The following is a 24,865-nucleotide window of genomic DNA, read 5'->3' as shown; positions in this document are numbered from 1 at the left end:
TATATGTATTAATACAAAATACATAGGTATATAAAATATTCATAGAGAAAGGCTAGAAAGAAATACTCTTACATCGTTTAATAGTGTTTATCTTTGGAGATAGAATATATATATCTTTATTTTCTTTTCTCTGCTTTTCTGAATTGTTTTCAATAGCATATATTACTTTTATAGTCAGCCAAAAAAAAAAAAAAATCAACCAAGTGAATAGAAAAGAAACACCCAGAAGGGTATCAAGCTCCAGCCTGAAGGGGGCTTGTCCGAGGGTGGCTGGGGAAGTGGTGGTGCTGAGCCTGGGGCTCAGAGATACTGCGCTGCAACCCTGGGGAAGGTGGGAGGCTGGGGCTGTGGCTCCTCTGGCCAGGTCTGGCATTTCCCACCAGCCCAGACCTGCTGGCTTTAGGCCTCAGGCTAAAGAGCCAAATCCTGGCAAGATTTCATGGGACGCAGCCAGGGGAGGGTAGGCACGAGACCCCACAGAGGCCACCATGGGAGGGGGGTACGTGTGACTAAAGCTGTGGAAGTTGGTGACAGGTCACCCTGCGTTTTTGCATTCTCTGCCTGCTGCATGGAGAGCGAGAGAGGGAGGCCAGAGGAGAGAATGGCTCGGTAACCTGGAGAGAGATGCTGGTGCCCAGACCAGGCAGGGGCCTCGGGCTGGAGAGGGCCCAGTGGCGGTGGGTTGGGCACGGAGGGCCTGGGAGAAGGGGGAAGGAGGACTCTCTGGTGTCTGGCCTGGTGAACAAGTGGCAAATGGTCCCTTTCCTGCAATGGAGACTCTGGGGGAAGGCAGTGAGCTCTGGGGGAAGCTGGTGGGCTCCATAGACTGGAGACATCAGGAGGCTGTAATGTCCGTAATTCTGTCAGGAGAGAAGGCCTGTCCAAAGATGACAATTTGTGAATCATGGTTATAGGAGAGTAACTGAAAGATGCCACAGGTGAAAGATGCGGATCAGAGCAAGCACAGAGCCTGAGGAGAACAGAGGCTGTGGAGAAATGGGCCCACGCCAGGCCAAGGGGTGACCCTGCTACCTCCCGGAAGGGAAACCAAGGCTGAGCTGGCAGAGCCACTGGTGGGGGCAGGGGCACAGAGAGAGGGCCATGCCACAGGCGATGGAGCAGCGGTGCCCTCCTCCTAGCCCAGAGCGAAGGAGGACCAGGCGGCCGCACGGTGATGGTGGTGGGGTGGGCTGGACCAGTGCTGGGGTCTGTACACTCGGCCGGGCCCCATTGGCTGTTGGGGCCGGAGCAGGCCCAGAGACAGGCCGAGCTGATGCAACGTGGGCCTATCGTTGCAGGCCTTGCTGAGGGGATGCAGCTGTGCTGGCTGCTGCCCAGAGGTTCCAGCAGGGAGGGGGCTGGCTCTCAGGGCCGCCTAGAGCTCTGGGACTGCAGCCCAGCCAGGCCCAAAGGCTGTCTGTTCGGGGTCTGCTCTGACTCAGGAGGGAAACACGCCTTTCATGGAAGCACCCAGCGCTGTTGGCTGGGTCTGTGTGTGTCTGTGTGCCCATGTGTGTGTGATGGGGGAGGAGCCCATAGCTGATGCTATATATACAGCTGTGCTTCACAGGCTCAGCATTCCCAGGGCCAGATGGGGAAACACGGGAGGGGAGGAGCTGGCCACCTGCCAAGCCCAGACCTCTGGCCGAGCCCCAGCTCCTAGATTCCAGCCTGTGCTCAGCCTCTGACTCTACACCTGACTTTCAGCAAGTCCCTGATCCCTCTGAGCCTCAGTTTCCCCATCTCTTGAGTTGGCACAGAGAGTTGTGAAAAAGAACTCAGAGGCTGGGAGCTGGAGCGGGAAGGGAGTCCCCAGGGAGCACAGCTGACTGGTCTTCACACCAAAAGCAAGCACAGGAGAAAGGGAGCTAGCATTTCCCAGTGCCTGTGGTGTGCCAGGAGCTCCTGCATTTTCCATTAATTCCCATCACCCTGCTATGAGGTAGGCATTTTCTCCCCATTTTGCAGATGATGAAACTGAGCCCCAAACAAGCAGAGATTATAGAGCTGGGTTTGAAGCTAGCTCTCCTTGCTTGGGGCCTGGGATTCTGTCCACAGCAGCCACTGGGCCATACCTGCAAGGGTGTCAGAAGGTTTGTGCTGGCGTCAGTGTCGCCAAGGACTCTGGGAGCCACTCACATTTTGGGCACTGCCTAAAGTTGATTACTTTGTTAACCCTGCCCAGGCCCCAGGCAGAGGCTTTAAATTGTTAGAACAATGAAGAAGGGAGAGCTGGATAAACACTGGCCAGGCTTGAGGGAGTCCTGGGACATAGTTGGGGTAAAGGACTGATCAGAGCATATGCTGAGGCTCAGGAATTCATAGGCATCTTCCTCCAGCTCCCTGACACAGGGTACCTAGAAGACTAACGATGGTGGTGCTGAGTACTAGAAAGGTTCTGTCCCGGACACAAATCTAGACACCAAGTCTGGTCCCCCGAACAAGGCAGGGACCCAGGTTATTGGAGCAAGGCTGTGAGTCCCTGAGGTGAGGAACTACAGGGCTTGGCCTGAAGATGGAGCTTGGCACGGTTTGTGCAGGAGCAAGCGGGTCAACAACAGGCCAGCATCACAGGTCCACAGGACTGGCCCAGCCCCACACCCATGCCAGGTTTCTGCCCTGCCACCTAAGGTGAGGCTGGCTCTGCCATGGTGCCCATGGGTGGTGGGGCGGGGGATGAGGAGGTCTAGTGCCCACAGAGCTGGCTCTGCCACCACTGGGCATTTTCAGAGATAGAGTCTTGCCCAAGGATTACCCCATAGAGGTTTTACCAAGGAACTTCTGGAGACAGAAGGGCTTGACCCAAAGACATCGTGTTGACATAAAATTCCAAGCACTGGCAGACCACTCATTTTCTCTCAAAACCCACTTTTCCTGAGCAACTGTTCCGAGCCAGGCCCTCTTCTGGAACACAGAAGCAAACCAAATCTACTCCCTTAAACAATGGGACTCACACCAGGTGCTCAGGAATGGGACGGAGGGGAGGAAGCAGAGGAGCTCTGGGACTGTAGCCCAGCCAGAAGGAGCCCAGAAGTACCAATCCAGTGTGGGATCAGGGGTCAGGGAAGACTTCTTGGAGGAGGCTACCTAAGGTTGAGAAGTGCACACCAAGCAGAGAAGACTGGGAATAGGGTGAGGCAAGTGAGGCACTTGCCTTGGGGGCACAATTAATGAGAGCACCGAAAACCTCAGTCATCAAAGTAAATCATGTTTCATGCAATATTTCAAAAAATCTAAATCAATGCAAAAATTCTATGAGTAACAAAATATCACAATTTTAAATAAAAACAGGATCAGGGCCAACCTCATGGGTGTACAGCCTGTGCAGTCTCACAGACCCTCCCAAGTGATTTGATGGTTACTACTGACATTCTGCAATTCTTTTTTTATTTTTATTTTTTATTTATTTTTTTTTTTTTTGAGACGGAGTCTTGCTCAGTCGCCCAGGCTGGAGTGCAGTGGCGTGATCTCAGCTCACTGCAAGCTCCGCCTCCCGGGTTCATGCCATTCTCCTGCCTCAGCCTCCCCAGTAGCTGGGACTACAGGTGCCTGCCACCACGCCTGGCTAATTTTTTTGTGTATTTTTAGTAGAGACAGGGTTTCACCATGTTAGCCAGGATGGTCTCGATCTCCTGACCTTGTGATCCACCTGCCTCAGCCTCCCAAAGTGCTGGGATAACAGGCATGAGCCACCGTGCCTGGCCTTATTTTTGTATTTTTTGTAGTGACAGGGTCTCTCTATTGCCCAGGCTGGTCTTGAACTCCTGGGCTTAAGCGATCCTTCCACGTCGGCCTCTCTAAGTGCCAGGATTACAGGCTTGAGCCACTACCCAGCCGCTGCAATTTTTTTTTTTTTTTGAGACAGAGTCTCACTCTGTTGCCCAGGCTGGAATGCACACTGCAACCTCCGACTCCTGGGTTCAAGCGATTCTCCTGCCTCAGCCTCCCGAGTAGCTGGGATTACAGGAGCCACGCCACCACACCCGGCTAATTGCCGCTGCAATTCTTAATAATTTTTGAGGCTGGGCGCGGTAACTCATGCCTGTAATCCCAGCACTTTGGGAGGCCGAGGCAGGTGGATCATTTGAGGTCAGGAGTTCGAGACCAGCCTGGCCAACATGGTGAAACCCCATCTTTACTAAAAATACAAAAAAATAGCTGGGCATGGTGGCATGTGCCTGTAATCCCAGCTATTCGGGAGGCTGAGGCAGGAGAATTGCTTGAACCCAGGAAGTGGAGGTTGCAGTGAGCCGAGGTCACACCACTGCACTCCAGCCTGGGCAACAAATAATAATAATTTTTGAAGAAAAGGCCTCACAAATTACATTGCCAGTCTCAGACAGGATTAGTAGCATGGACTGTGTCAAGCCATATTGGAGCCTGAGACAAAAGGAAAAATAAAAAAGTCCTTATTTAAAATGTGATATTTTGTTCATCATGGATTTTTTGCATTTGTTTTGATTTTTAAAAAATATTACAAGAGGCCGGGCATGGTGGCTCATGCCTGTAATCCCAGCACTTTGGGAGGCCGAGGAGGGCAGATCATGAGGTCAGGAGATAGAGACCATCCTGGCTAACACGGCGAAACCCCGTCTCTACTAAAAATACAAAAAATTAGCCAGGCATGGTGGCGGGTGTTTGTAGTCCCAGCTACTGGGGAGGCTGAGGCAGGAGAATGGCATGAACCCAGGAGGCGGAGCTTGCAGTGAGCCAAGATCACGCCACTGTACTCTAGCCTGGGCGACAAAGTGAGACTCCATCTCAAAAATAATAATAATAACAATAATTACATGAAAATATGATTAATCCTGATTACTGAGATTTCTGGTGCTCCTTTTAGTTTTCACTTGTCTCACCCTAGTCCCAGCCCTGGAAGAAGGCAAGGAGAGGAAAGACACCCTGGCAGGGGGAAGAGCAGGGGCAAAGGCTGGCAGCCCAAGTGCCAAGGAGAACTGGCACATGAGGTGCCGGGAAGGCTCTGGGGAGCAGGCAGGGCCTTCAGGCCCCTCTCAGGTCCCACTGACCCTTGCTGGAGAGGCAGTGTCTCCCTAACCCTCAAACCACCATCCAGAACCTAGATGCCCACCTGCAAAGTGAGAGCCATGGTTCCTTTCAAGCCTGTCTTCCTCTTCCAGGTAGTTCCGAGGAACAACAACAACAAAAAGACCCTGGGTTGGAAGTGGCCTGTAAACTGGACAGCATGTGCCCAAATTCTGCAGTTCCCACAGATCTCTGCAGCCCTCCAGGCCTCACTCCATTCTCATGGTTCTGAGGCCTCCCTCCACCAGCCAAGGCACCCCCCTTCCCTGCCCTCAGTGCACATAAGAGAGAGTCAGAGGAAGTCCTTTACTTCTTCATTCTTCCTTTCATGCAACAAAGTTTTTTTTTGAGATAGAGTCTCGCTCTGTCGCCCAGGCTGGAGTGCAGTGGCATGATCTCGGCTCACTGCAACCTCTGCCTCCCAGATTCAAGCAATTCTCAGCCTTCCGAGTAGCTGGGATTACAAGCGCTGACCACCACACCCAGCTAATTTTTGTATTTTTAGTAGAGATGGGGTTTCACCATCTTGGCCAGGCTGGTCTTGAACTCCTGACCTCGTGATCCATCCGCCTCAGCCTCCCAAAGTGCTGGGATTACAGGCGTGAGCCACCGTGCCCAGCAAAGATTTGTTGTTGTTGAGACACAGTCTCACTCTGGAGTGCAGCGGTTGGGATCTTGGCTCACTGCAACCTCTGGCTCCCGGGTTCAAGCGATTCTCCTGCCTCAGCCTCCCAAGTAGCTGGGATTCCAGGTATGCACCACCACGCCCGGCTAATTTTTGTATTTTTAGTAGAGACAGGGTTTCACCATGTTGGCCTGGATGGTCTCGAACTCCTGACCTCAGGTGATCTGCCTGCCTCAGCCTCCCAAAGTGCTGGAATTATAGGCGTGAGCTACCGTTCCCAGTCTCACGTAGCAAAGATTTATTGAGAACCCACAATTTACTAGGCACTGTTCTAGGTACTGGGATAAAAAAGTGGGCAAAACCAGATCTTTGCCCTCCAGGAGCCTGGTGTGCTGGCGAGTGGAGACACGCAATAAACTAAGAAAGAAATGTGATCATTTCCAGTAATAATGAGGGCTAGCAAGAAATGAAAACAGGTGTTGTGGGTAAGACTACTTTACACCAGGCAGCCTGAAATCTGAATAAGAAGCTGTAATCATTTCCGGTGGCTGCTGTATCTAGTACCACACACTTAGTGGCTTCAAATGATATAAATTTATTCTTTTATGGTTTTGAGGTCAGAAGACTTAAATGGGCTAGCAACTCCTTCTAAAGACTCTGGGGATGAATCTGCTTCCTTGCTCTTTCCAGCTTCTAGAAGCCACCCGCATTCCTTGACTTGTGGCCCCTGCCTCTACCTTCAAAGCCAGCAGTGTGGCAGCGCCAATCTCCCTCTCTCTCTGCTTTCTCCTTCCCTCATCACATCTGTTTCTCTGACTCTGACCCCTCTGCCTCCCTCTTGAGATGGACCTCCCTGATGACACTGGGCCACCAGTAAAGTCTCCCTATCTCAAGATCTGTAATTTAATCTCATGTGCAAAGTCCCTTGTCCCATGCAAGGTAATGCACTCACAGGTTCCAGGAATTCGGACATGGATGTCTTTGGGGAGCCATTCTTCCTCCGACCAAAGGAGGAGGGAGACCTTTATGGTGGGAGGAGGGGATCCCAAGCAGAGGGAGCTGCATGGGCAAAGGCCCCACAGTTAGAATGAACTAGGCATGCTCTAGGAATAGCAAGAAGGTCAGCCTTCTAGAAGTAATGCTCCAGTTAGCTTGATTTGCATCTATGTCATTCGTGAGGCCAATCCCATCTCTATGGACAAATGTTCTACAGTGTGCGTCCAGGAGCCCTGCGAGTCTACGGCATCCCCTTGGCATTTCAGGTCATCTCCTGCATCCTTCTGCTTCTAGCTGCCGGACTCTTCACATGCTTAGAGCAAGAGCACTGGACATTTGAGGAAGGTGCCTGGCTGGGCACTCACCTGGGCTGGGGCCAGGCTGACTCTGGTGGAGGGGTGGGCCCAGTCCCTAGTACCTGAGTATAATCCTGCTCTTTCTTCCCCACTGAAGGCCAGGATTGTGTGGCTAAGGATGGATGGGGGCAGCAAAGCTAGACCTCAGGCAGTGGCAGGAGCTGTCAATGGCCATATTGTTAGCTCTGGGCTGCGGCACGGAGGCACCAGGGTAGGGCTGAATGAGGCATCTGTTCGCTAGGTCAGGATGCCCAGGTCAGGGTCTCTCTTGAGAGATGCCTCCTACCCCCACCCTAACCCCAACTCTGCCCAGACCCTGCCATGTGGCTCCCTTGATATCTCTGGTACCCATCCCTCAGGGACCACAACTGTAACTAGCTGGCTCACTGTGAGGTTGGCTGTTGGATGGTGGTCTTCTCAGTTAAAATGTGAGCTCTCCACATAAGCCAGGAACTGTCTTCATCAATGCCAAGTCCCAGCAGCCGGCAGCCAGCACCCAACCCAGGGCCTGGCTCAGAGAAGTTGCTCCATACACACGTGCAATGAATGGAGGAATGAAGGAACAGATGAGAGAGACTGGGCCACCCTTGCATCCCCTGGTCACCTCCTCCCTTGACCACTGCACCCTCCTGCTCACTAGGCCTCCCTGCCTCTGGTATCTCTTCCCAGACACTCTTCATTCTAACACACCATCTAGTTAAAACCCTCCTGGGGCTCCCTGAGACCCTCAGGATCTGCCAAGCCCCAGCCTCACCAGGCTACCCGCCCACCGATTCTGTCCTCTACCTCTGCACTCCTCCTCAAGCAGTCCCTGGCACTGTCCAGTGTGCGCCCTTGTACTTGTGTATTCTTATGCCCAGAAAGCCCCTCCTCCCCTTCTCCCGGTATGGATGGCTCCTACCCTCTGTTCAGGCTCCTACAGGAAGCGGGCCCTGACCACCCCCAGCCTCCCCTGGGCTCCCACAGCCTGTGCTTCCCCCATCTCAGCACCAATTGTAATTCTCACTTCGTACATCTGTCTCCCTTTCCACACCCTGAGCCCCTCAGGGCAGAGACTAATGCTGACCCACGTCTTTCTTTGTCTGCTCCAGGGCCCTGGACGTGGTCAGGCACAGAACAAATGTTCAGCAAAGGTGTAAGCCCAGCCCCAGGCCAGTGGGCAGGTCCTATAGCCTGACCAGTGGGCGCTTCTGCCCTCTGGTGTCCGTTTTGGGTCACTATGATTTTCTATCTCTTTGAGGGGCTTCCTAGGGTGATGTACCCCAGCAGTGGTTCTCAGAGTGTGGTCCCAGGACCAATTGTATCAGCATCACCTTGGTACCTGTCAGAAATGAAAATTCTTGGGCTGTACTCTAGGCATGAATCAGAAACTCTGGCTGGGGGGAAGCAATCTGGATTTTACCAAGCCCTCCAGATGTTTCTGATGCAGGCTGAAGTTTGAAAACCATTATCCTGGAAGAACCCTAAGCCTGAACCACTCCCAGGAGCTCCAGTTAAGGGAGGAAACAGGACCCACCTGGTGGAGTTGCCAGGTACAATACAGGATTCCCAGTTAAATTTGAATTTCAGATCAACAGAAACATGTTATTGCAAGTATTGCACAAGACAGACAAACTAAAAAATAAAAATAAAAAATTCATTGTTTATGTGAAATTCAACTTTAACTGGATGTCCTATGTTCTCTTTCTGTATCAGCAGCCCTGTGCAAAGAACCCTGTTCTTATTTCAGTACTCTGCTGTCGCCATCTTGAAATTCTTAGTAATCTTTTTTACTAGGAGCCCTGCATTTTCATTTGGCAATGGGTCCTGCAAAATGTAGCCAGTCCTAGGAAGGATCTTTACAAAGCCTCCCTGGGGGCATTCAGGATCCGGAGCTCAAAGGCAGGCGGAGTGGGACCTCTGGCACCTTAGAGATGTGCCTCTAAGGATTCTCAGCTCCTCCCTCTGCCACGTGCTGGGGGTTCCCTTCCCAGGTGGGTCAAACCTTCATCCTTCTCCGATTGTGGCTCCTGTCTCCTCACTATCTTGCTGCCTCTGTTCTCACCCCTTCTATGCCACCTTCCACACAGGACGGTGAAGTTCCGAAAATGTCTGCCCATATGCCACCCTCCTGCCCCCAAACTTTTCTCTGGATGTCTCCTTCCCACTTTTATTTATTTTTTTAATTTTTTTTTTGAGACAGTCTCCCTCTGTCACCCAGGCAGGAGTACAGTGGTGCAATCACAGCTCACTGCAACCTCCAACTCCTGGATTCAACCAATTATCCTGCCTTAGCCTCCCAAGTAGCTGGGATTACAGGTGTGTTCCACAACACCCGGCTAATTTTTGTATTTTTAATAGAGACAGGGTTTCACCAGTTGCCCAGGGTGGTCTCGAACTCCTGACCTCAAGTGATCCACCCGCCTCGGCCTCCCAAAGTGCTAGGATTACAGGCGTGAGCCACCACGCCTGGCCACCACTGCTTTTATGATAACCAGTGGCTACCATTACAGAGCACTGAAGTAGATGCTTTTCCTCATTATGTCTTGTATTCTGCAAAGTAATTCTCCTCTTGGCCAAGCCTGGGATGGGATTGCTGTGGGCAGAACCAGCCTGCAGCCTCGGATGAAGAGCTGAGTATCCGCCCCAGCTCATGCCTGACAGAGGAAAAGCCGCTGCCTGGGAAGGCTACAGAGGAGCAAGTGGAGGAGAAGCACCAGAATGATCTGTTGAGCACTTACTATGTGCCGAGCACTGTTCAGAGTGGTGGGAGCTGGATGGTGAAGGACACATATACCAACCCCACCGTCCTTGGGATGGTTCCATGGATCCTGCCAGCTTTAATCTCGGGTTTATGCCCTAACCTTAGTGTTCTAATCAAACAGTGGAGGGCAGTGGCTCTTCTTATTTTTAATTTTTCAGAAGCAAGGAGGAAGTCATTCTTTTCTTTCTCGAAGATTTGATTCCAAATTACACTGGGAGAAGTAGGTTGGGGCACAGAGGAAACAGGATTGGTATGACCCACTATTGCTGAGGCTGAATGATGGGTACGTGATGGGGTCATTAGACTCATCTCTCTAATTTTGGGTATGTTTGAAATTGTCCATCATTAATTTTTTTAAAGTATAGTTCAAAGTAATAAAACCAAAAAGTAATATTAAAACTGCAAAATCTCATCCAATGTAGAATAAGACTCTTCTCTGGGGGTGGGCTTGCCTCAGAAACTAGAGACTCAGAGAGGGCAGCGACTGCCTCTGGTCTCCCTCAGTGCAGTGGCGCGATCTCAGCTCACTGCAGCCTCCGACTCCTGGGTTCAAGTGATTCTCCTGCCTCAGCCTCCTGAGAAGCTGGGATTACAGGTGCCCACCACCACACCCAGCTAATTTTTTGTATTTTTAGTAGAGACAGGTTTTCACCATGTTGACCAGGCTGGTCTCGAACTCCTGACCTCAGGTGATCCACCCGCCTTGGCCTCCCAAAATGCTGGGATTACAGGTGTGAGCCACCTCACCCAGCATCTCCATGACCATCTGTCTATAGAGTGGGAGAGAGAGCAGATCAGGCCCTCCTTGCCTGATACAGTTGTAACCTGGCCTGGGGACCCTCTGAGACATGGTAGATGTCCAAATTCTACTCTAACTCACAGGATTCTCCAGGAGGTTTTTCAGTGAACCTCCTCCCCTGGGGACCTCTCATCTAGATCCCCCCCACCCCTGCCACCCCCACCCAAAGGAACAATGCCCCCTCTGGTTTGCAACCTCTCCCCTCAGACATCAGTTCCAGCAGTACCCTCTGTTGGGAGGTCCTCACCCCACCCGCCTCCAGCTCCCTCCACAGGCCCTCATCCGGTCCACTGGAAAAATCAGATATCCTTTGCCTAGCCTGGCAGCATGAGCCATTCCCAGGGTGGCCCTGGCTCTCCCCATTCCACCACCACACACTGCCTTTAGACTCTGTGATATGTGAGGACAATTCAGGTTCCCATGTCCCCCAACGTCTTGAAGCCCTCCGCACTTGGTTTAAAGAAGGGAGGGAAGCTCAGAGCAAAATAACAATTTTCTCCAAAAAAAGGCTTTAACATGGGTGGGTGTTGGGTGGGCTTGGTGGGGCAGGCCTGGGAGGGCACCCTCTGCTTGTGCTGCAAGATGGTCTAACTCCCCATGGAGGATGTGAGGTGCTTGGGCCCCTCAGCTTCTAGAGCCTCTGCTGAGACTCCAGCCAACAGGAAGAGCCTCATCTTCACCTCAAGTGCACAACTAGAGAATCCTAGACTTAGGGAGTTGCAACATGCTTCATTCCACTAGCCCCCAGCTTCACCTGGCAAAAGGTGATCCTCTGTGAGCCCCCACGCAAGCTCTGCCTCCTCCAGGACAACCTCCCTGACTGCTCTGTGGCAATCCCCTCCTCCCGGTGTTCCCACCCTACCTTGTTCACTCCCCCATTAAAACAATTATTATTATTATTTTATTTTTTTATAGAGATGGGGTCTTGCTACCTTGACCAGTCTGGTCTTGAACCCCCTGGCCTCAGGAGAGCTTCCGACCTCGGCCTCCCAAAGTGCTGGGATTACAGGTGTGAGCCATCATCTATTATTTGTTTAAATTGTCTTTGTGGCACATCTCCTCATCAGATTCTGAGTTCCTTAAGGAGTTCCTGAATGGCTCTGGTGTATCGCAGGGTCCCTGGTATCCAGCATGAGAGCTGCCTGGCACAGAGGAGTGGTGATACAGTGACAACAATGACAATCTTTATCAAGTGTTAACTGTATTCCAGGTCCAGAGCCAAACTTCACGGTGTATGATCTCATTAATCCTTGCTATAGCCTTGTGAGGCAGGTATTATTATCCCCATTTTATAGATGAGAAGACTAAGTCTCAAAAGGTGAAATCACCGGGCCAAGGTCACATGGGTGAAGGGTAGAAGAGCTAGGATGTGACACAAGCCTTTCTGAGTGCAGTGGCCTCATGCTGCAGTGTGTTGGGGCTCCACCATGCCTGCCCGGTTCCTAGATGAAGGCAGGGATGAGTAGCGCTAGCAGATCAGCCTGATCGCCTCAGGCCCCAGTGATATGAAAGTGGGCGGGGAAGTGCTGGGTAGAGGTGGGAGTGGCCCCTGGCTAGGGCTCCACCCCAGGGCCTGTGCCTATAGACCTAGGTGAGGATAGGCACTCCTGACTTCACACCCAAATGTTGCATTTCCCAAGACCACCCTGGCCTGCTACGCCCCCCATACTGTGCCTATAAAAACCCCGAAACCCTAGCAGGCAGAGACACAAGTGGCTGGATGTTGAGGAGAACACATCAGCAGAAGAAGACACGAGCAGCTGGGTGTCAAGAGGACGTTGGAGCATGCCGGCAGAAGGAGCACACCCACAGAGCCAGCAGGCCGGCAGGCCATCAACCGGGGGAACCTGGTGGAGTTTGGCTGGGGCAGTCGGAAAAGAGCCCAGGCCACTGAGCGGTCAACTCCAGGGGAAAACCTTCCCACTCCGTCCCTTCTGGCTCCCCCATCTGCTGAGAGCTACCTCCACTCCATAAAACCTTGCACTCATTCTCTGAGCTCAGGTGTGATCCGATTCTTCAGAACACCAAGGCAAGAACCCGGGATACAGAAAGTCCTCTGTCCTCGCAACAAGGTAGAGGGTCTAATTGAGCTGGTTAACACAAGCTGCCTATAGACGGCAAAACTAAAAGCACACAGTAGCACATGCCTGCTGGGGCTTCAGGAGCTGTAATCATCCACCCCTAGACGCTGCTGTGGGCCCGGAGCCCCACAACCTGCTCTAGAGGTTAAAGAAGCGAGGCACTGAAGAAGCAAGTCATACCCGCATCGCACGCCCTGCAAGGGGCTCAAGGGAAGCTTTCCCATTTCACCAGCAGGCAGGGACTCTGTTATCATGAGGTCACAGGATATACAGAGAGTCAGGGGACAATGGAGAGTCAAAATGAACGTGGGGGCTGCTGTCTTTCGAGGCCATTGTAAAGACAAATCAAGGTCTTACTTGATTTGGGCTGTTACTTCTTGCTGGCATTGATGAGCCTAATTTTTTTTTTAAGAGACGAGGTCTCACTCTGCAACCGAGGCTGGAGTGCAGTGGCACGATCATAGCTCGCTGCAGCCTCAAACTCCCAGGGTCAAGTGATCTTCCTGTCTTCCTGCCTCAGCCTCCTCAGTAGCCGGGGCTACTGGTGCCTGCCACCATGCCTGGGTAGCTTTTTTTTTTTTTGTAAAGACAATTCTTGTTATGTTGCTCAGGCTGGTCCCAAACTGCTGGCCTTAAGCCATCCCCCTGCTTTGGTTTCCCAAGTTGCTGGGATTACAGGCGTGAGCCACTGCGCCCAGCCTGAGCCTCATTTTCATAGTACCTTAACCCCTGTCCCAGCCTCTAACCACAGCCTGGAGGATCCCAAGGATTGGGAGGTGGTGCACAAATGCCTGGAAAACAGCAGGTTGTGAGGGATCAGGTTCTGGGTGCCCAAAGGGGCAGCAACAGGACCTGGCTGGACCACAGCTCTAGGGTGACTGTCTTGATTTGCCCAGGAATGAGGGATGTGCGACTTTCACTGCTAAAACAGGGACAGAATGGGGTCACCCTGCAACATCTCTGACCCTGCAACAGTTCCACCTGCTCAGTAGATGCTTCTGGACCCAGATGAAGCCTGGGAAGACCACAGGGTGTTCATCAACCTGGGTCTGTACACACAGGGAGGTCAGCCTGGGTGTGACCCCAAGGGCTCACAGAGCAGGGCCCAGGAATCAATCAGAGAGAGCAGGGCCCAGGAATCAGAGAGAGAGAGCAGGGCCCAGGAATCAATCAGAGAGAGCAGGGCCCAGGAATCAGAGAGAGAGAGCAGGGCCCAGGAATCAGAGAGAGCAGGGCCCAGGAATCAGAGAGAGCAGGGCCCAGGAATCAGAGAGAGCAGGGCCCAGGAATCAGAGAGAGCAGGGCCCAGGAATCAGAGAGAGCAGGGCCCAGGAATCAGAGAGAGCAGGGCCCAGGAATCAGAGCAACCAGGGCTTCAGCCCACTTCGGCATCATACTGGCTGGGTGGCCTTGGACCACTTGCTTAAAATCACTGAGGCTTCAGCAGAATACAGACTAAAGAAAGTCAATTTTTATTTAAAATAGAAAATAAAATCATTGAGCCTCCTTTTCTCTCTCTAAAAATGAGGTAACATCCACTTGGCAGGACTGTTGTGAGGATGAAAATGACATAACTCATGAAAAGTGACGTGTCACCCTAGGATTAGGAGCAGCTGTGAATAACATAACCCTACAATAACAGTGCCTTGAACAAGAGGGTTTGTTTCTCACTCAGGTAAGGATCTGGGAATAGGTGATCCAGGAGTGGTGTGGGGACCCTGCTTTGCTAAATCCTCTGGCATTTTAGGCTCCTGCCAACTCATGACTCCTCTATGCCAAGGGTGTGGCCCTTGCCTCCAATGACCAAGATGGCAGCTGGAGCCCAGGCAGCAGATGGAAGAATAAAAAAAGTGCATGTCTGTCTATCTAAGGGCATTTCCCAGAAGACATACACAGCAATGCTGCTTACATTCCATTTAGTCCTGGGGCCACAGAGAGCTGTGAAATGTGCTCTTTGTTCCCAAAGACCATAAGTCCAGGTAAAAACCAGGAGTGCTATTACTATGGAAGAAGGGGGCATGGATACTGGGGAACTAGCCCAAGTGTGAGCCACATGTGCCTAGCATAGTGGGAGGCTGAGGTGAGCGGATCACTTGATGCCAGGAGTTCGAGACCAGCCTGGGCAATATGGCAAAACCCGTCTCTACTAAAAATACAAAAATTAGCCGGGCGTGGTGGCACATCCCTGTAATCCCAGCTACTTGAGAGGCTGAGGTATGAGACTTGCTTGAACCTGAGAGATGGAGGTTGCAGTGAGCTGAGATCATGCCATTGCACTCCAGTCTGGGCGACAGAGTGAGATTCTATCTCAAAAAAAAAAAAAAAAAAGAGATCAGAAAATGTGGGCTGGGCACGGTGGCTCACGCCTGTAATCCCAGCACTTTGGGATCACCTGAGGTCAGGAGTTCGAGACTACCCTGGCCAAAATGGTGAAACCCCGTCTCTACTAAAAATACAAAAATTAGCCAGGCATGGTGGTGTGCGCCTGTAATCCCAGCTACTTGGGAGGCTGAGGCAGGAGAATCACTTAAACCCAGGGGGTGGAGCTTGCAGTGAGCCGAAATGGCACCACTGCACTCCAGCCTGGGCAACAGAGTGAGACTGTCTCAAAAAAAAAAAAAAAAAGAAAAGAAAAGAGAAAATGTGACTCTTTCTCCCTTTCACATTTGCTGACCTTTCCCCAGCCTGTGAAAGGTGAGGGTCTAGCTCTGAAGCTAGCACAGGGCATCCTGTGTACCTTGGTGGGGTGTGGGGAGGGAAGAATGGGGCTGGGACTGACTGGGAAGTAAGAGGCAGGGATATCCCTGGATGGGCCTGGCCAGCCCATCACAATGCCCCAGGACTTACCATGTGCCACCCCAAATCTGAAGGCCAGTAGTTCTGGGCCCTCAGCTCAGGCAGCTCAGCAAAGGAGGCTCTGGGGCATAAAGAGTCCTTAGGAGTCAGGAGCTGGAGGCAAGAGAGGATCCAGGGACGGGAGGACGTTTGGCTGGCATCAGGCAGGGCCCAAAGCCCACCACAGGCAGCGGACTCCAGAGTAGGAAGGCACTAGCAGGGCACCTGGAGAGAGTCCAGGCCTTCACTGAAGATGGCCTTGGGGAAAAAGAAAATATCAGAATCAAACTTATCCTGTTTTATTCTAGAAGCAAGTGAACAGATGTTGGAAGTAATCTAGGAAAAGCAGCCTCTGCCAAAAAGCAGAAACCAAAGCAGGAGGACAATGAAAAACAGACAGGGCAGCCCCACCCTGCCCATGTCAGGGAGGTGGGTTCCCAGTTCTCTAATGATGGGATGGTGACAGGACCTGCCCCTGTGGGCATAGTACGGTCCCTTGACATAGGGGGCATTGTAAGACCAGTCCAAAGAGGTCCTATTAAATGCTACCCTCCACACACACACTTTGTTCCAATATGGAACAGGGAGGAGGTGGCTTTGCATAAATATGTAAACCAGTCCTGGAAATCTGAGACTTCCTAGGCATGCTCCTTCCTCTGAGCCCCTGGTCAGCTGCAGATCCACACTGCCTTGCCTGGCCCAGTGCTACCCAAGAGGGAAGAAACCCGCATGGTCTGTGAAGGGACCTGGGCTGGAGGCTCTCCAGGCTGCCTGCTGCTTAATCACGTGCACCGACCCCAGGTGCCTGCACTTTTCCACACAGTCATCCCAGACACCCCTAATCATCTGCTCTCCTGCTGCCCCCTGCCCTCCAATCTCCCAGGCCTCTTCCCCACTCTCACTGTGGCTGACTGCCTTGCTTCCTGATTCACTGAGAGAGTGGACTCGATCAGCAATGAACTCCAGAGGCTCCACCACCACACCGACCAATCTCCTTGCATCTGCCTTCTCTCGATGGATAAAACCACGCACTCCTCAGAAGGTCGACCCCTGCTTATGTGGCTGGATTCCACCCCCTCAGCTACTCAAGGCCATGGCTGCGGCAGTCCCTCCATCTCCCCCGTATCTTCCACTGTTCTCTCATCTAGACCTTTCCCGTCAGCATACACACATTCTATCTCATAAAAACATTCTCAGTTTTTCTCTTCATCCCCTTTCCTTCCTTCCCTTTCCATCAGAACTCCTAAAAAAGGTGGTCTAGGCCAGGCATGGTAGCTCATGCTTGTAATCCCAGCACTTTGGGAGGGTGAGGTGGGAGGATCACTTGAGCCCAGGAGTTCGAGACCAGCCTGGGCAACATGGTGAGACCCCCATCTCTAAAAATAATTTTTAAAAAATTAGCTGGGCGTGGTGGCATGTGCCTGTGATCCCAACTACCTGGGGGCCTGAGGTGGGAAAATCACCTGAGCCTAGGAGATTGAGGCTGCAGTGAGCCATGATTGCGATTGCGCTGCTGCACTCCAATCTGGGGGACAGCAAGACCCTGTCTCAAAAAAAAAAAAGAGTGGTCCTTATCTTTGTCTCCAGTTCCTTCCTCCTGTTCTCTCTCAAGCTCACTTGAACCAGCATCCCACGTTTATCACTCCACTGAAACTCTTCAAGGTCACCAAGACCTCCACATTGCTAAATCCAGTAGCCAGTCCTCAATCCTGCTCTCCCTTACCAGTAGCAGCAGCAGGGAACCTGCCAACGGCCCCTCCTTGGTTTCACTTTCGTCACCTGCCTTCCAGAATACCACACAACTGTGCTCTTCCTCCCACCTCCCTAGAGGATCCTCCTGCCCTGATATGGGAGCTCCAGAGCTCAGTCCTTGGTCCTCTTTCTTCTCCCTCAAGCACCGTTTCCTTGACAGTGTCATCCAAGTTCAAGGCTTCAGATCCCTTCTCTATGCCTGTAACTCCCACATTTCCGGACCTCTCCCAGACCCCAGACTTGTGTATCCAACTGTGTGCCTGACATCTTTACTTGGATGCCTAAGACATCTGAAAATGAACGTGTCCAATCCTGAATTCTGATCTGCTCCCCAAAACCTACCCCTCTCGTCTTCCTCATGTCAGACAAGGGTGATGTCATCCTTCTAGGTGATCAAGCCAAAACATGGGGGTCATCCTTGACTCATCTCTTTGTCTCACAACCTACATTTAATTCATCAGAAAATCCTGTGGCTCTACCTCCAAAAGACACCACAGAATCTGACTACCTGTTACACGGCTCCTGCGGTCACTGTATCTGAGCCGCCATCACCTCTCCTCAGACTGCGGCATTCCCCCCCTGTCTTTACCGTATCCCCCAGGTCTAACTTAGAAGTCAAACAATGACACCTCTTTACTTAGAACTCTACAATGCCTTCCCATTTCAACTGGAGTAAAAGTCAAATTCCTACTGCAGGCTCTAGGCCCTCTGTGATTTAATCTCTGTGACCTCGTAGGCTCGTCTTTTACCTCTCCCAACCCCATCAATCACTGCCTCCATTCCAGCCACATTGGCCTCCTAGTGTGAACACACCAGGGGCCTTCACACCTGTCATCTGCTTCAGGCTTTTACTCAAACGTCAGCTTCCTTGACTCCTCTAAGTGGCAAGTGTCCTCGCTGACACCTCCTGGTCTCCTCTGTCTCTGAGGCTCTTTCTTTTGCCCATAGCATGTATCCCATCTAATACACCACTCCTTGTATTTGTTTTGCTTATTGTCTACCTCCCTCTACTAGAAAGTAAATTTCATGAAGGCAAAATTTTTCACCGCTGTGTCCCCAGGACTGTATGAAGTAATCACTCAGTATACATTTATTTAAAGCAGGAAGAAAGGAAGGAAGCAACGAATAGCGGAACCGATTGCTCTTCTGTCCTGGAGGGTTGAGCTGCCAGAGAGGGCAGTAGAAACCAGAGGCGTGTACCTTCACATGTAGCACGATGTTCCGGGTCCCATGCTGGGTGCTGGGGACATGGCCTCATGGAAGCAGACACACAAGCTGACATTCACAGAACTGACTGGTAAATGAGTGGATAGAGGCCTCGGGGAGCCCAGAGAAGAGCTTGGGTCCAGGCAGGGCTTCTGTGAGGAAGTGACACCTGAGCCGCGTCCTGAAGTCATACCTTGCCACTCTCCTCCCACTGCCCTCTAGCCCCACTGTGACTCTGAGTCAGCAATGATTCAGAAGAGCGCAGACTTGGGTGTCAGAACCTGGGTTTGCATATTGGTTTACATGCTGGGTGGCTTTGGGCAAGTCACTTCCTCTGGCCAACCTCAGTTTTCTCATCTGTAAAATGTGACAGCGGCTGGCCTAGAGCATCTCTTAAATTCCTTCCAACTTTAACATCCATCAAGCCATGGAGGTTTGCCACTCAGATCTTCCTTTAAGAGAGTGTAGAGCAGGAGTGTCGTTAGCAACAGATCCCAGCAGCAACACCCTGGGATCTACTGCTGTGTTCCTGACAAGGCCACTTTCTCCTTGGGCAGCCCTAGCCAATGACTCAGCTCAGTGGGAGAAGGAGGTCTGGCCGTTTCTGCCCAGCAGATGTCTCCTCTGTTTTTTGTTTGTTTGTTTGTTTTTGTTTTGTTTGTTTGTTTTTGAGCCAGAGTATCACTCTGTGGCCCAGGCTGGAGCACAATGGCACAATTTCAGCTCACTGCAACCTCCGCCTCCCAGGCTCAAGCGATCCTTCTGCCTCAGCCTCCCAAGTAGCTGGGACTACAGGTGTGAGCCACCACGCCCAGCCTCTAACAGCTAATTTGTGCTCTGGCCTCCCCACTGGGCTGGCTGAGGCTTTCTCGGAGCTGCAGTGCAGTCTGAGGCTCTTTCTACTTAATCCCTCCTTCCCTTCCACCTTTCCCAGATGGTAGGCCCACCTCATGGTCAGAGGGAGGCTTCCTGGAGGAGGAGACACGGGAGCTGTGCCTTCCAGGTTGACTTGGGTGTAGAGGGCCCAGCATGTGCTGCTGAGAGCCAAGAGAGGGGAGCCACTGAGGAGTTTTAATCAAGAGAATGCTGTGCTCAGATCTGAAATAGTGGGAAGTGGATAGGAGAGGGCAAGAGAGGAGGCAGGGAGAGCACCGAAGAGGCTGACATGATGGGCACTGGCCTTGGAGGTGATTATGGGAGCCACAGGGTCAAGGAGTGGATGGAAAAATGTTTAGATGTTCAGGAGATAGAAACTCCAGAGTTGGGAGCCTGGACACTCCAGTAGCTAGCTTGCTTTCTCTTTTTTTCTTTTGTTCTCTTCCTCCCCTCCTTCCTTCCTTCCTCCCTCCCTCCCTCCCTCCCTTTCTGTCACTCCATCACACAGGCTGGAGTGCAGTGGTGCAATCTCAGCTCACCTCAACTTCCACCTCCTGGGTTCAAGTGATTCTCATCCCTCAGCCTCCCGAGTGGCTGGAATTACAGGCGCGCGCCACCAGGCCCAGCTAATTTTTGTATTTTTAGTAGAGACGGGGTTTCACCATGTTGGTCAGACTGGTCTTGAACTCTTGACCTCAAGTGATCCGCCCGCCTCGGCCTCCCAAAGTGCTGGGCTTATAGGCGTGAGCCACCATGCCTGGCCTCCAGTAGCTTTAGAATTCCCTTCCCTGCATCTCTGTGACTGACGGGCTATAGGGGGTGATGTCTAGGATGTTGGGATCTGTCACAGAGATGGAGAATACTGAAGGAGCGGCTTTAGGGGGAATCGATGCAGTTTTGGACAGCATAGGAAAACAGCCTGTTGTATAATAAGGGTGACGCTGTGTCCGGAATTGGAGGGTTCTTGGTCTCACTGACTTCAAGAATGAAGCCTCGGACCCTCGCGTTGAGTGTTACAGAAGAGAACCTGGTGTTGGGGGGCAGGGGTGCTGGGGGAAAGAAGAGAACCCGGGAGGAAGCAGTAGATGGCACTTTGAATTTATAAAATTTCATTTGGTAAAGTTAACAAAAATAAAGGGGTCTGTTTTTATTACTGATGTGGCACCCTTCTCTCCCCCACTAAACTGAACACTCCTCAAGGGGAGGGGGCAGGGTCTGATTGCATTTTGCATCTCTAGTGCCAGCCTCAGGTCTGGCATGGACTGGGCCCTCAGCACAGGTTCCTGGAACTGAGTTATTCTAGGAAGCCAGGGTTCCTATCACCACCCCCATGGTACTGGCTGGTTGGGGTATTTCTAATTTTCGGCCCTGAACAGTGCCCATGGGTGCCTCTTAAGCACATGATGAGAGGGGCAGGTGTCTTCTCTCAACTCTCCTCTTCCTTCCCCCTCCCCTGCTGCTCCTGGAGATAAGGAGGCCCCTCTGTTCTGAGAGGGTGTCAGGGCTATGTTTTGAAGGAAACTCTATCAACTTAACTGGTAGCTGTTCCCAACAGTGGAGGGGCTCAAAAAAAAAGAGCGCCAGTAGGGAGGGGACCCACCTGCATGGGTCCTTCAGTGGCCTCACCTTCAGGGGATAAAACCACAGTGTGAAAGTGTAAAAATGTTTAGTACTTACACACCCTGGAGGGCACAACAGAGGTGTCTCTGTCTCTCTCTCACACACGGACACACACACACACACACACACACACACACGTCAGGGAGTGCAGGCAGGAAGAGACAAGACCCATGGGCCACTGCCTATATTGGGTCGAGGGTGTCCAGCTTTCCCTCAGGGAGCTTTAATTGGTAGGTTTAAAGCAAGCAGGCACTAGTTCCAGTTGGTCACACTGTGACTGAGAGGTGGTCACTTCCAGTTGACAAGCTCATGTCTGAATGGTCCGTTTAAAGGAGAGAGCGGGAAGGCCAGGAGCCAGCCTGCTAGGTGGGAGAGAAGCCTCTAAGTTTTATCTCCAGCCACCAGCTGGAGCCATTCGGGTGGGGCATAGTATTGGAAACTGTGTCAAGGGTGACTGAGCCCTGCTTCTGGTATGAGAACGTTAAATTAAAACATGAATGCCAAGTACAGACCCTGCTGGGGAAGTCTGCAAGGTCAAAACTCTTTTCATAATGAGACTAAGGCATCATTTGCCTTTTTTGCTGGGTTGACATTTCCCTGACGGTGCAAAAGCCAACGTGGCGGCCTCCAATGCGATGTACAGGAAGTCATCGCATTTTTCACTGCCACGCCCTCATAGGAAAACACTGCCAACATCGACCAGGAAAGTCTTTGATGCAGCAATAAAAATGATCCCATTCACAATATACTGGTCCTTGAGTATACATCTTTTTAATATTCTGGGAAGCAACATAGAGCACTTCTGCCATATCCGATGCAGCACAATGGTTGTCTCCAGAAAAGCATTTGCACTTGTTTGAACTGTGAGCTTAACTAGTCACTTTTTTTTTTTCATGGAACACCATTTTGACCTGAAAGAAATACTGACAGATAAATTATGCTTATGCAGACTTGAGTCTCTGGCAGACATTTTCTCAAGAATGAATAAAATGAATCTGTCATTTCACAGCAAACTGACAGTATTTATTGCTAATGATGAAACCCAAGCTCAAGTGAAAATTGGAATTTTAGAAACCTTGTGTTCACCACTGTGACCTTGGCAGCTTCCCAATACTTAAAGACTTCTCTGATGAGATCGGTGTTGATATTAACTAATGTGATTTTTAAAACATAGTATACTAATATTTGTCAATATTTGAAAGACCTGCATAACTTGGTGAACCATTTTTTTCCAAACAGCCAGTGCATTAAGTTATAACATCATGCTTGGGCAAAAGATATATCCAAAATGCGAAAGAGTCTAATGTATTTTAATGTAATTGAACATAAAAATTTCATTGATAGGATTTCAGATTTTTTTTTTTTTTTTTGAGACTGAGTGCAGTGGCAGAATCTTGGCTCACTGCAACCTCCGCCTCCCGGGTTCAAGAGATTCTCCTGCCTCAGCCTCCCGAGCAGCTGGGACTACAGGCAGGCGCCACCATGCCCAGCTAATTTTTGTATTTTTAGTAGAGACGGGGTTTCACCATATTGGCCAAGCTGGTCTCGAACTCCTGACCTCGTGATCCACCCACCTCAGCCTCCCAAAGTGCTGGGATTACAGGCATGAGCCACTGCGCCCGGCTAGATTTCAGATTCTAATCACAACTAACCTTCAAAAAAAAAAAACAGCACTTGTCAAGTTTTGGCTAGTATCAAAAAAGAATAGCCAGGCTCAGTAGTTCACACCTGTAATCCCAGCACTTAGGGAAGCTGAGGCAGGAGGATTGCTTGAGGCCAGGAAAAGACCAGCCTGGGCAACATAGTGAGACCCCATCTGTACCAAAAAAAAGAAAAATGAGCTGAGTGTGGTGGTGAGTACCTGTAGTCCTTGCTACTTGGGAGGCTGAGGTGAAAGGATCACTTGAGCCCAAGAGTTTGAGGTTACAGTGAGCTATGATCATGCCACTGCACTCCAGCCTGGCCAACAGAGCAAGATCCTGCCTCTAAAAAATAAAAAAAAGAATAGCCACAATTATTTGAAAGGGCTGTTAACATATCCCTTTTACAACTATGTATTTGCGTAAGCCTGTATTTTCTTCATAAACTTCACTTAAAACAACATATTGCATCAGATTAAATGCAGAAGTGTGTTTGAAAATCCAGCTGTCTTCTATCAAGACATTAAAGAAATTTGTAAACATATAAAATAATGCCACTTTTCTCATTAATTTTTTATTTTGGGAAATATTTTTTCTAAAAATATGTTGTTACACTACATTTATTATTTTAATCATATAATATGAATATTTTAAAAACATATCAATTTAAATTTATATTACTGTAAATACCAATAGACATAAAACGTATAAACAGATGTTCTTTGGGGTCCTCAATAATTTTTAGGCAAGAAAAGGGGTCCCGAAACCATTAAGTTCCAGAACCAGCCCTTTAATGTTGTACCAACCAGTCTCAGACAGCAGGGGGCAGCAGAGGCAGCCAAATGAAGGCATTCCCTCTGCATTTCTACAGTTAAAGGTATTGAGTGCCTACTGGGTGTGGCCACACCCTGTGCTGCGACACAGAAATCAATCTGGCAAGTTCATGGTGGGGGTTGGAGGGAAGCAGTCCCCGGCAACTGACAATGGTGGGGACAAAGCAGATAGTTCTTCTAGTGAGCATCCAAAGGCTCTGGGGAAGGGTCAGCATGGCATTATGGTGACCTCGGTTATTCCCACTGGCTGGCGACAAGACCTGGTGGGAGAGGAAGCTTCCAGGATCTGGGGTCAGAAAGGAATGTGAAGCTCCCCAGCCTTGCAAGACTGGAGCCTGAACAGTGATCCAGGAGAATGAGAAAGGGGGTCAGGTATCTTTTTTTTTTTGAGACAGGGTCTCCCAGGGTGGAGTGAAGTGGCACGATCTCAGCTCTCTGCAGCCTCCACCTCATGCCTCATGCTTCCCAAGTAGCTGGGACTACAGGCATGCACCACCACACGTGGCTAATTTTTGTATTTTTAGTAGAGATGGGGTTTCACTATGTTGGCCAGGCTGGTCTCAAACCCCTGGCCTCAAGTGATCCATCCGCCTTGGCCTCCCAAAGTGCTGGGATTACATGTGTCAGCTACCCCACCCAGCCATGATATCATTTTTTATTAACTTGACACAGACATTTCCCAAAGCCCCCTCTACGAAGTGAGAAGGGGCTGCTTCAGCTCTGTCTCTCCTGTCCCCACTGTGGTCCTCACCCCCAACCCCCAAATACAGCCTCTCCTCAGTCCCAGGTCAGCTTCCTGCCCCTCCCTTATTCACAGAGCTTTAACTGAAGCCCTCCTCCAGGAACCAACACCAAAACCAAAACCCTCCTCTGCCTCTGCCTTCCCCGCCAGCTGCCATCCAACCATGTTGCCCTGCCAGCTGCCCTGAAAGGGGCTGTCCACCATGTCACCAAGTGAGCCCCTGCTCCTGCCTCCCACCCTATGCACATCACCCTTCCCAAGTCACCCACAGTCCCAATGGCCCACCCCAGGGGACACCTCCATCCTGGCCCTCCCGGCCCTGGCTAACCTCTCCCTGCACACTCTCCTCTCACTGTCTGCTCCCCTCTGTCCTCTTCTTCCCCTCAGAGGGCTCCTCCTCAGGCCCCTGCCCCTGCCCATCCCCTCCCTGTTGGTTTTCATCCGTGGTGAGCCACGCTTCCCTCCCAGGGGCTACTCAGCCTCTCCTCCCAAAGGCTGTCCATTCCCAAGAGGTGGACTCAAGCCCGGCCCCGCCCCCCAGAGCTCTACCGAGGAATATCCCATGTATCTCCCAATGGTCCCTCAAACTCACTGTGTCCCCAAGCCACATCATCACCTTTCCCCATACCTGCATCTCCAGGCTCCCCACCCCAGGAAATGGCACCACCAGCTGGGCCCTGGGAGTCACCCAGGCATTTCTAGCTCACTCTTGCCCTACGTG

General features: G+C 51.2%; 11 annotated features.

The window, feature by feature from the left end:
- Positions 243-2,929: an enhancer, noted in NCBI's record as "VISTA enhancer hs1748". NCBI's record gives its function as "enhancer in: heart[3/4]" and the evidence as "EXISTENCE:transgenic organism evidence [ECO:0001131][PMID:17130149]".
- Positions 1,409-1,458: an enhancer, noted in NCBI's record as "active region_5271". NCBI's record gives its function as "activates an Ori minimal core promoter by ATAC-STARR-seq in GM12878 lymphoblastoid cells {active_cell/tissue: GM12878}" and the evidence as "EXISTENCE:reporter gene assay evidence [ECO:0000049][PMID:35858748]".
- Positions 1,515-2,262: an enhancer, noted in NCBI's record as "H3K27ac-H3K4me1 hESC enhancer chr11:75264733-75265480 (GRCh37/hg19 assembly coordinates)". NCBI's record gives its function as "activates a minimal SCP1, AML or CMV promoter by ChIP-STARR-seq in naive H9 embryonic stem cells {active_cell/tissue: H9 hESC(naive)}" and the evidence as "EXISTENCE:reporter gene assay evidence [ECO:0000049][PMID:30033119]".
- Positions 12,211-12,712: an enhancer, noted in NCBI's record as "H3K4me1 hESC enhancer chr11:75254283-75254784 (GRCh37/hg19 assembly coordinates)". NCBI's record gives its function as "activates a minimal SCP1, AML or CMV promoter by ChIP-STARR-seq in naive H9 embryonic stem cells {active_cell/tissue: H9 hESC(naive)}" and the evidence as "EXISTENCE:reporter gene assay evidence [ECO:0000049][PMID:30033119]".
- Positions 18,199-18,268: an enhancer, noted in NCBI's record as "active region_5270". NCBI's record gives its function as "activates an Ori minimal core promoter by ATAC-STARR-seq in GM12878 lymphoblastoid cells {active_cell/tissue: GM12878}" and the evidence as "EXISTENCE:reporter gene assay evidence [ECO:0000049][PMID:35858748]".
- Positions 18,429-18,478: an enhancer, noted in NCBI's record as "active region_5269". NCBI's record gives its function as "activates an Ori minimal core promoter by ATAC-STARR-seq in GM12878 lymphoblastoid cells {active_cell/tissue: GM12878}" and the evidence as "EXISTENCE:reporter gene assay evidence [ECO:0000049][PMID:35858748]".
- Positions 18,468-18,968: a silencer, noted in NCBI's record as "fragment chr11:75248027-75248527 (GRCh37/hg19 assembly coordinates)". NCBI's record gives its function as "represses an EF-1alpha promoter that drives an FKBP-Casp9 reporter gene in an ReSE screen in phorbol 12-myristate 13-acetate-treated (for megakaryocytic differentiation) K562 erythroleukemia cells {active_cell/tissue: K562(+PMA)}" and the evidence as "EXISTENCE:reporter gene assay evidence [ECO:0000049][PMID:32094911]".
- Positions 20,540-21,726: a transcriptional cis regulatory region, noted in NCBI's record as "candidate enhancer chr11.4348 targeted for multiplex CRISPR interference". NCBI's record gives its function as "positively regulates SERPINH1 gene expression with high confidence in K562 cells {active_cell/tissue: K562}" and the evidence as "EXISTENCE:mutant phenotype evidence [ECO:0000015][PMID:30612741]".
- Positions 23,449-23,528: a silencer, noted in NCBI's record as "silent region_3768". NCBI's record gives its function as "represses an Ori minimal core promoter by ATAC-STARR-seq in GM12878 lymphoblastoid cells {active_cell/tissue: GM12878}" and the evidence as "EXISTENCE:reporter gene assay evidence [ECO:0000049][PMID:35858748]".
- Positions 23,449-24,302: a biological region, named in NCBI's record as "H3K27ac-H3K4me1 hESC enhancer GRCh37_chr11:75242693-75243509".
- Positions 23,486-24,302: an enhancer, noted in NCBI's record as "H3K27ac-H3K4me1 hESC enhancer chr11:75242693-75243509 (GRCh37/hg19 assembly coordinates)". NCBI's record gives its function as "activates a minimal SCP1, AML or CMV promoter by ChIP-STARR-seq in naive and primed H9 embryonic stem cells {active_cell/tissue: H9 hESC(naive and primed)}" and the evidence as "EXISTENCE:reporter gene assay evidence [ECO:0000049][PMID:30033119]".

Source organism: Homo sapiens, chromosome 11 (assembly GCF_000001405.40).
Source record: "Homo sapiens chromosome 11, GRCh38.p14 Primary Assembly".
Lineage (NCBI taxonomy): Eukaryota > Metazoa > Chordata > Mammalia > Primates > Hominidae > Homo > Homo sapiens.
The sequence above is the reverse complement of the archived record's forward strand: the minus strand, read 5'-3'. Positions and strand labels throughout refer to the sequence as shown.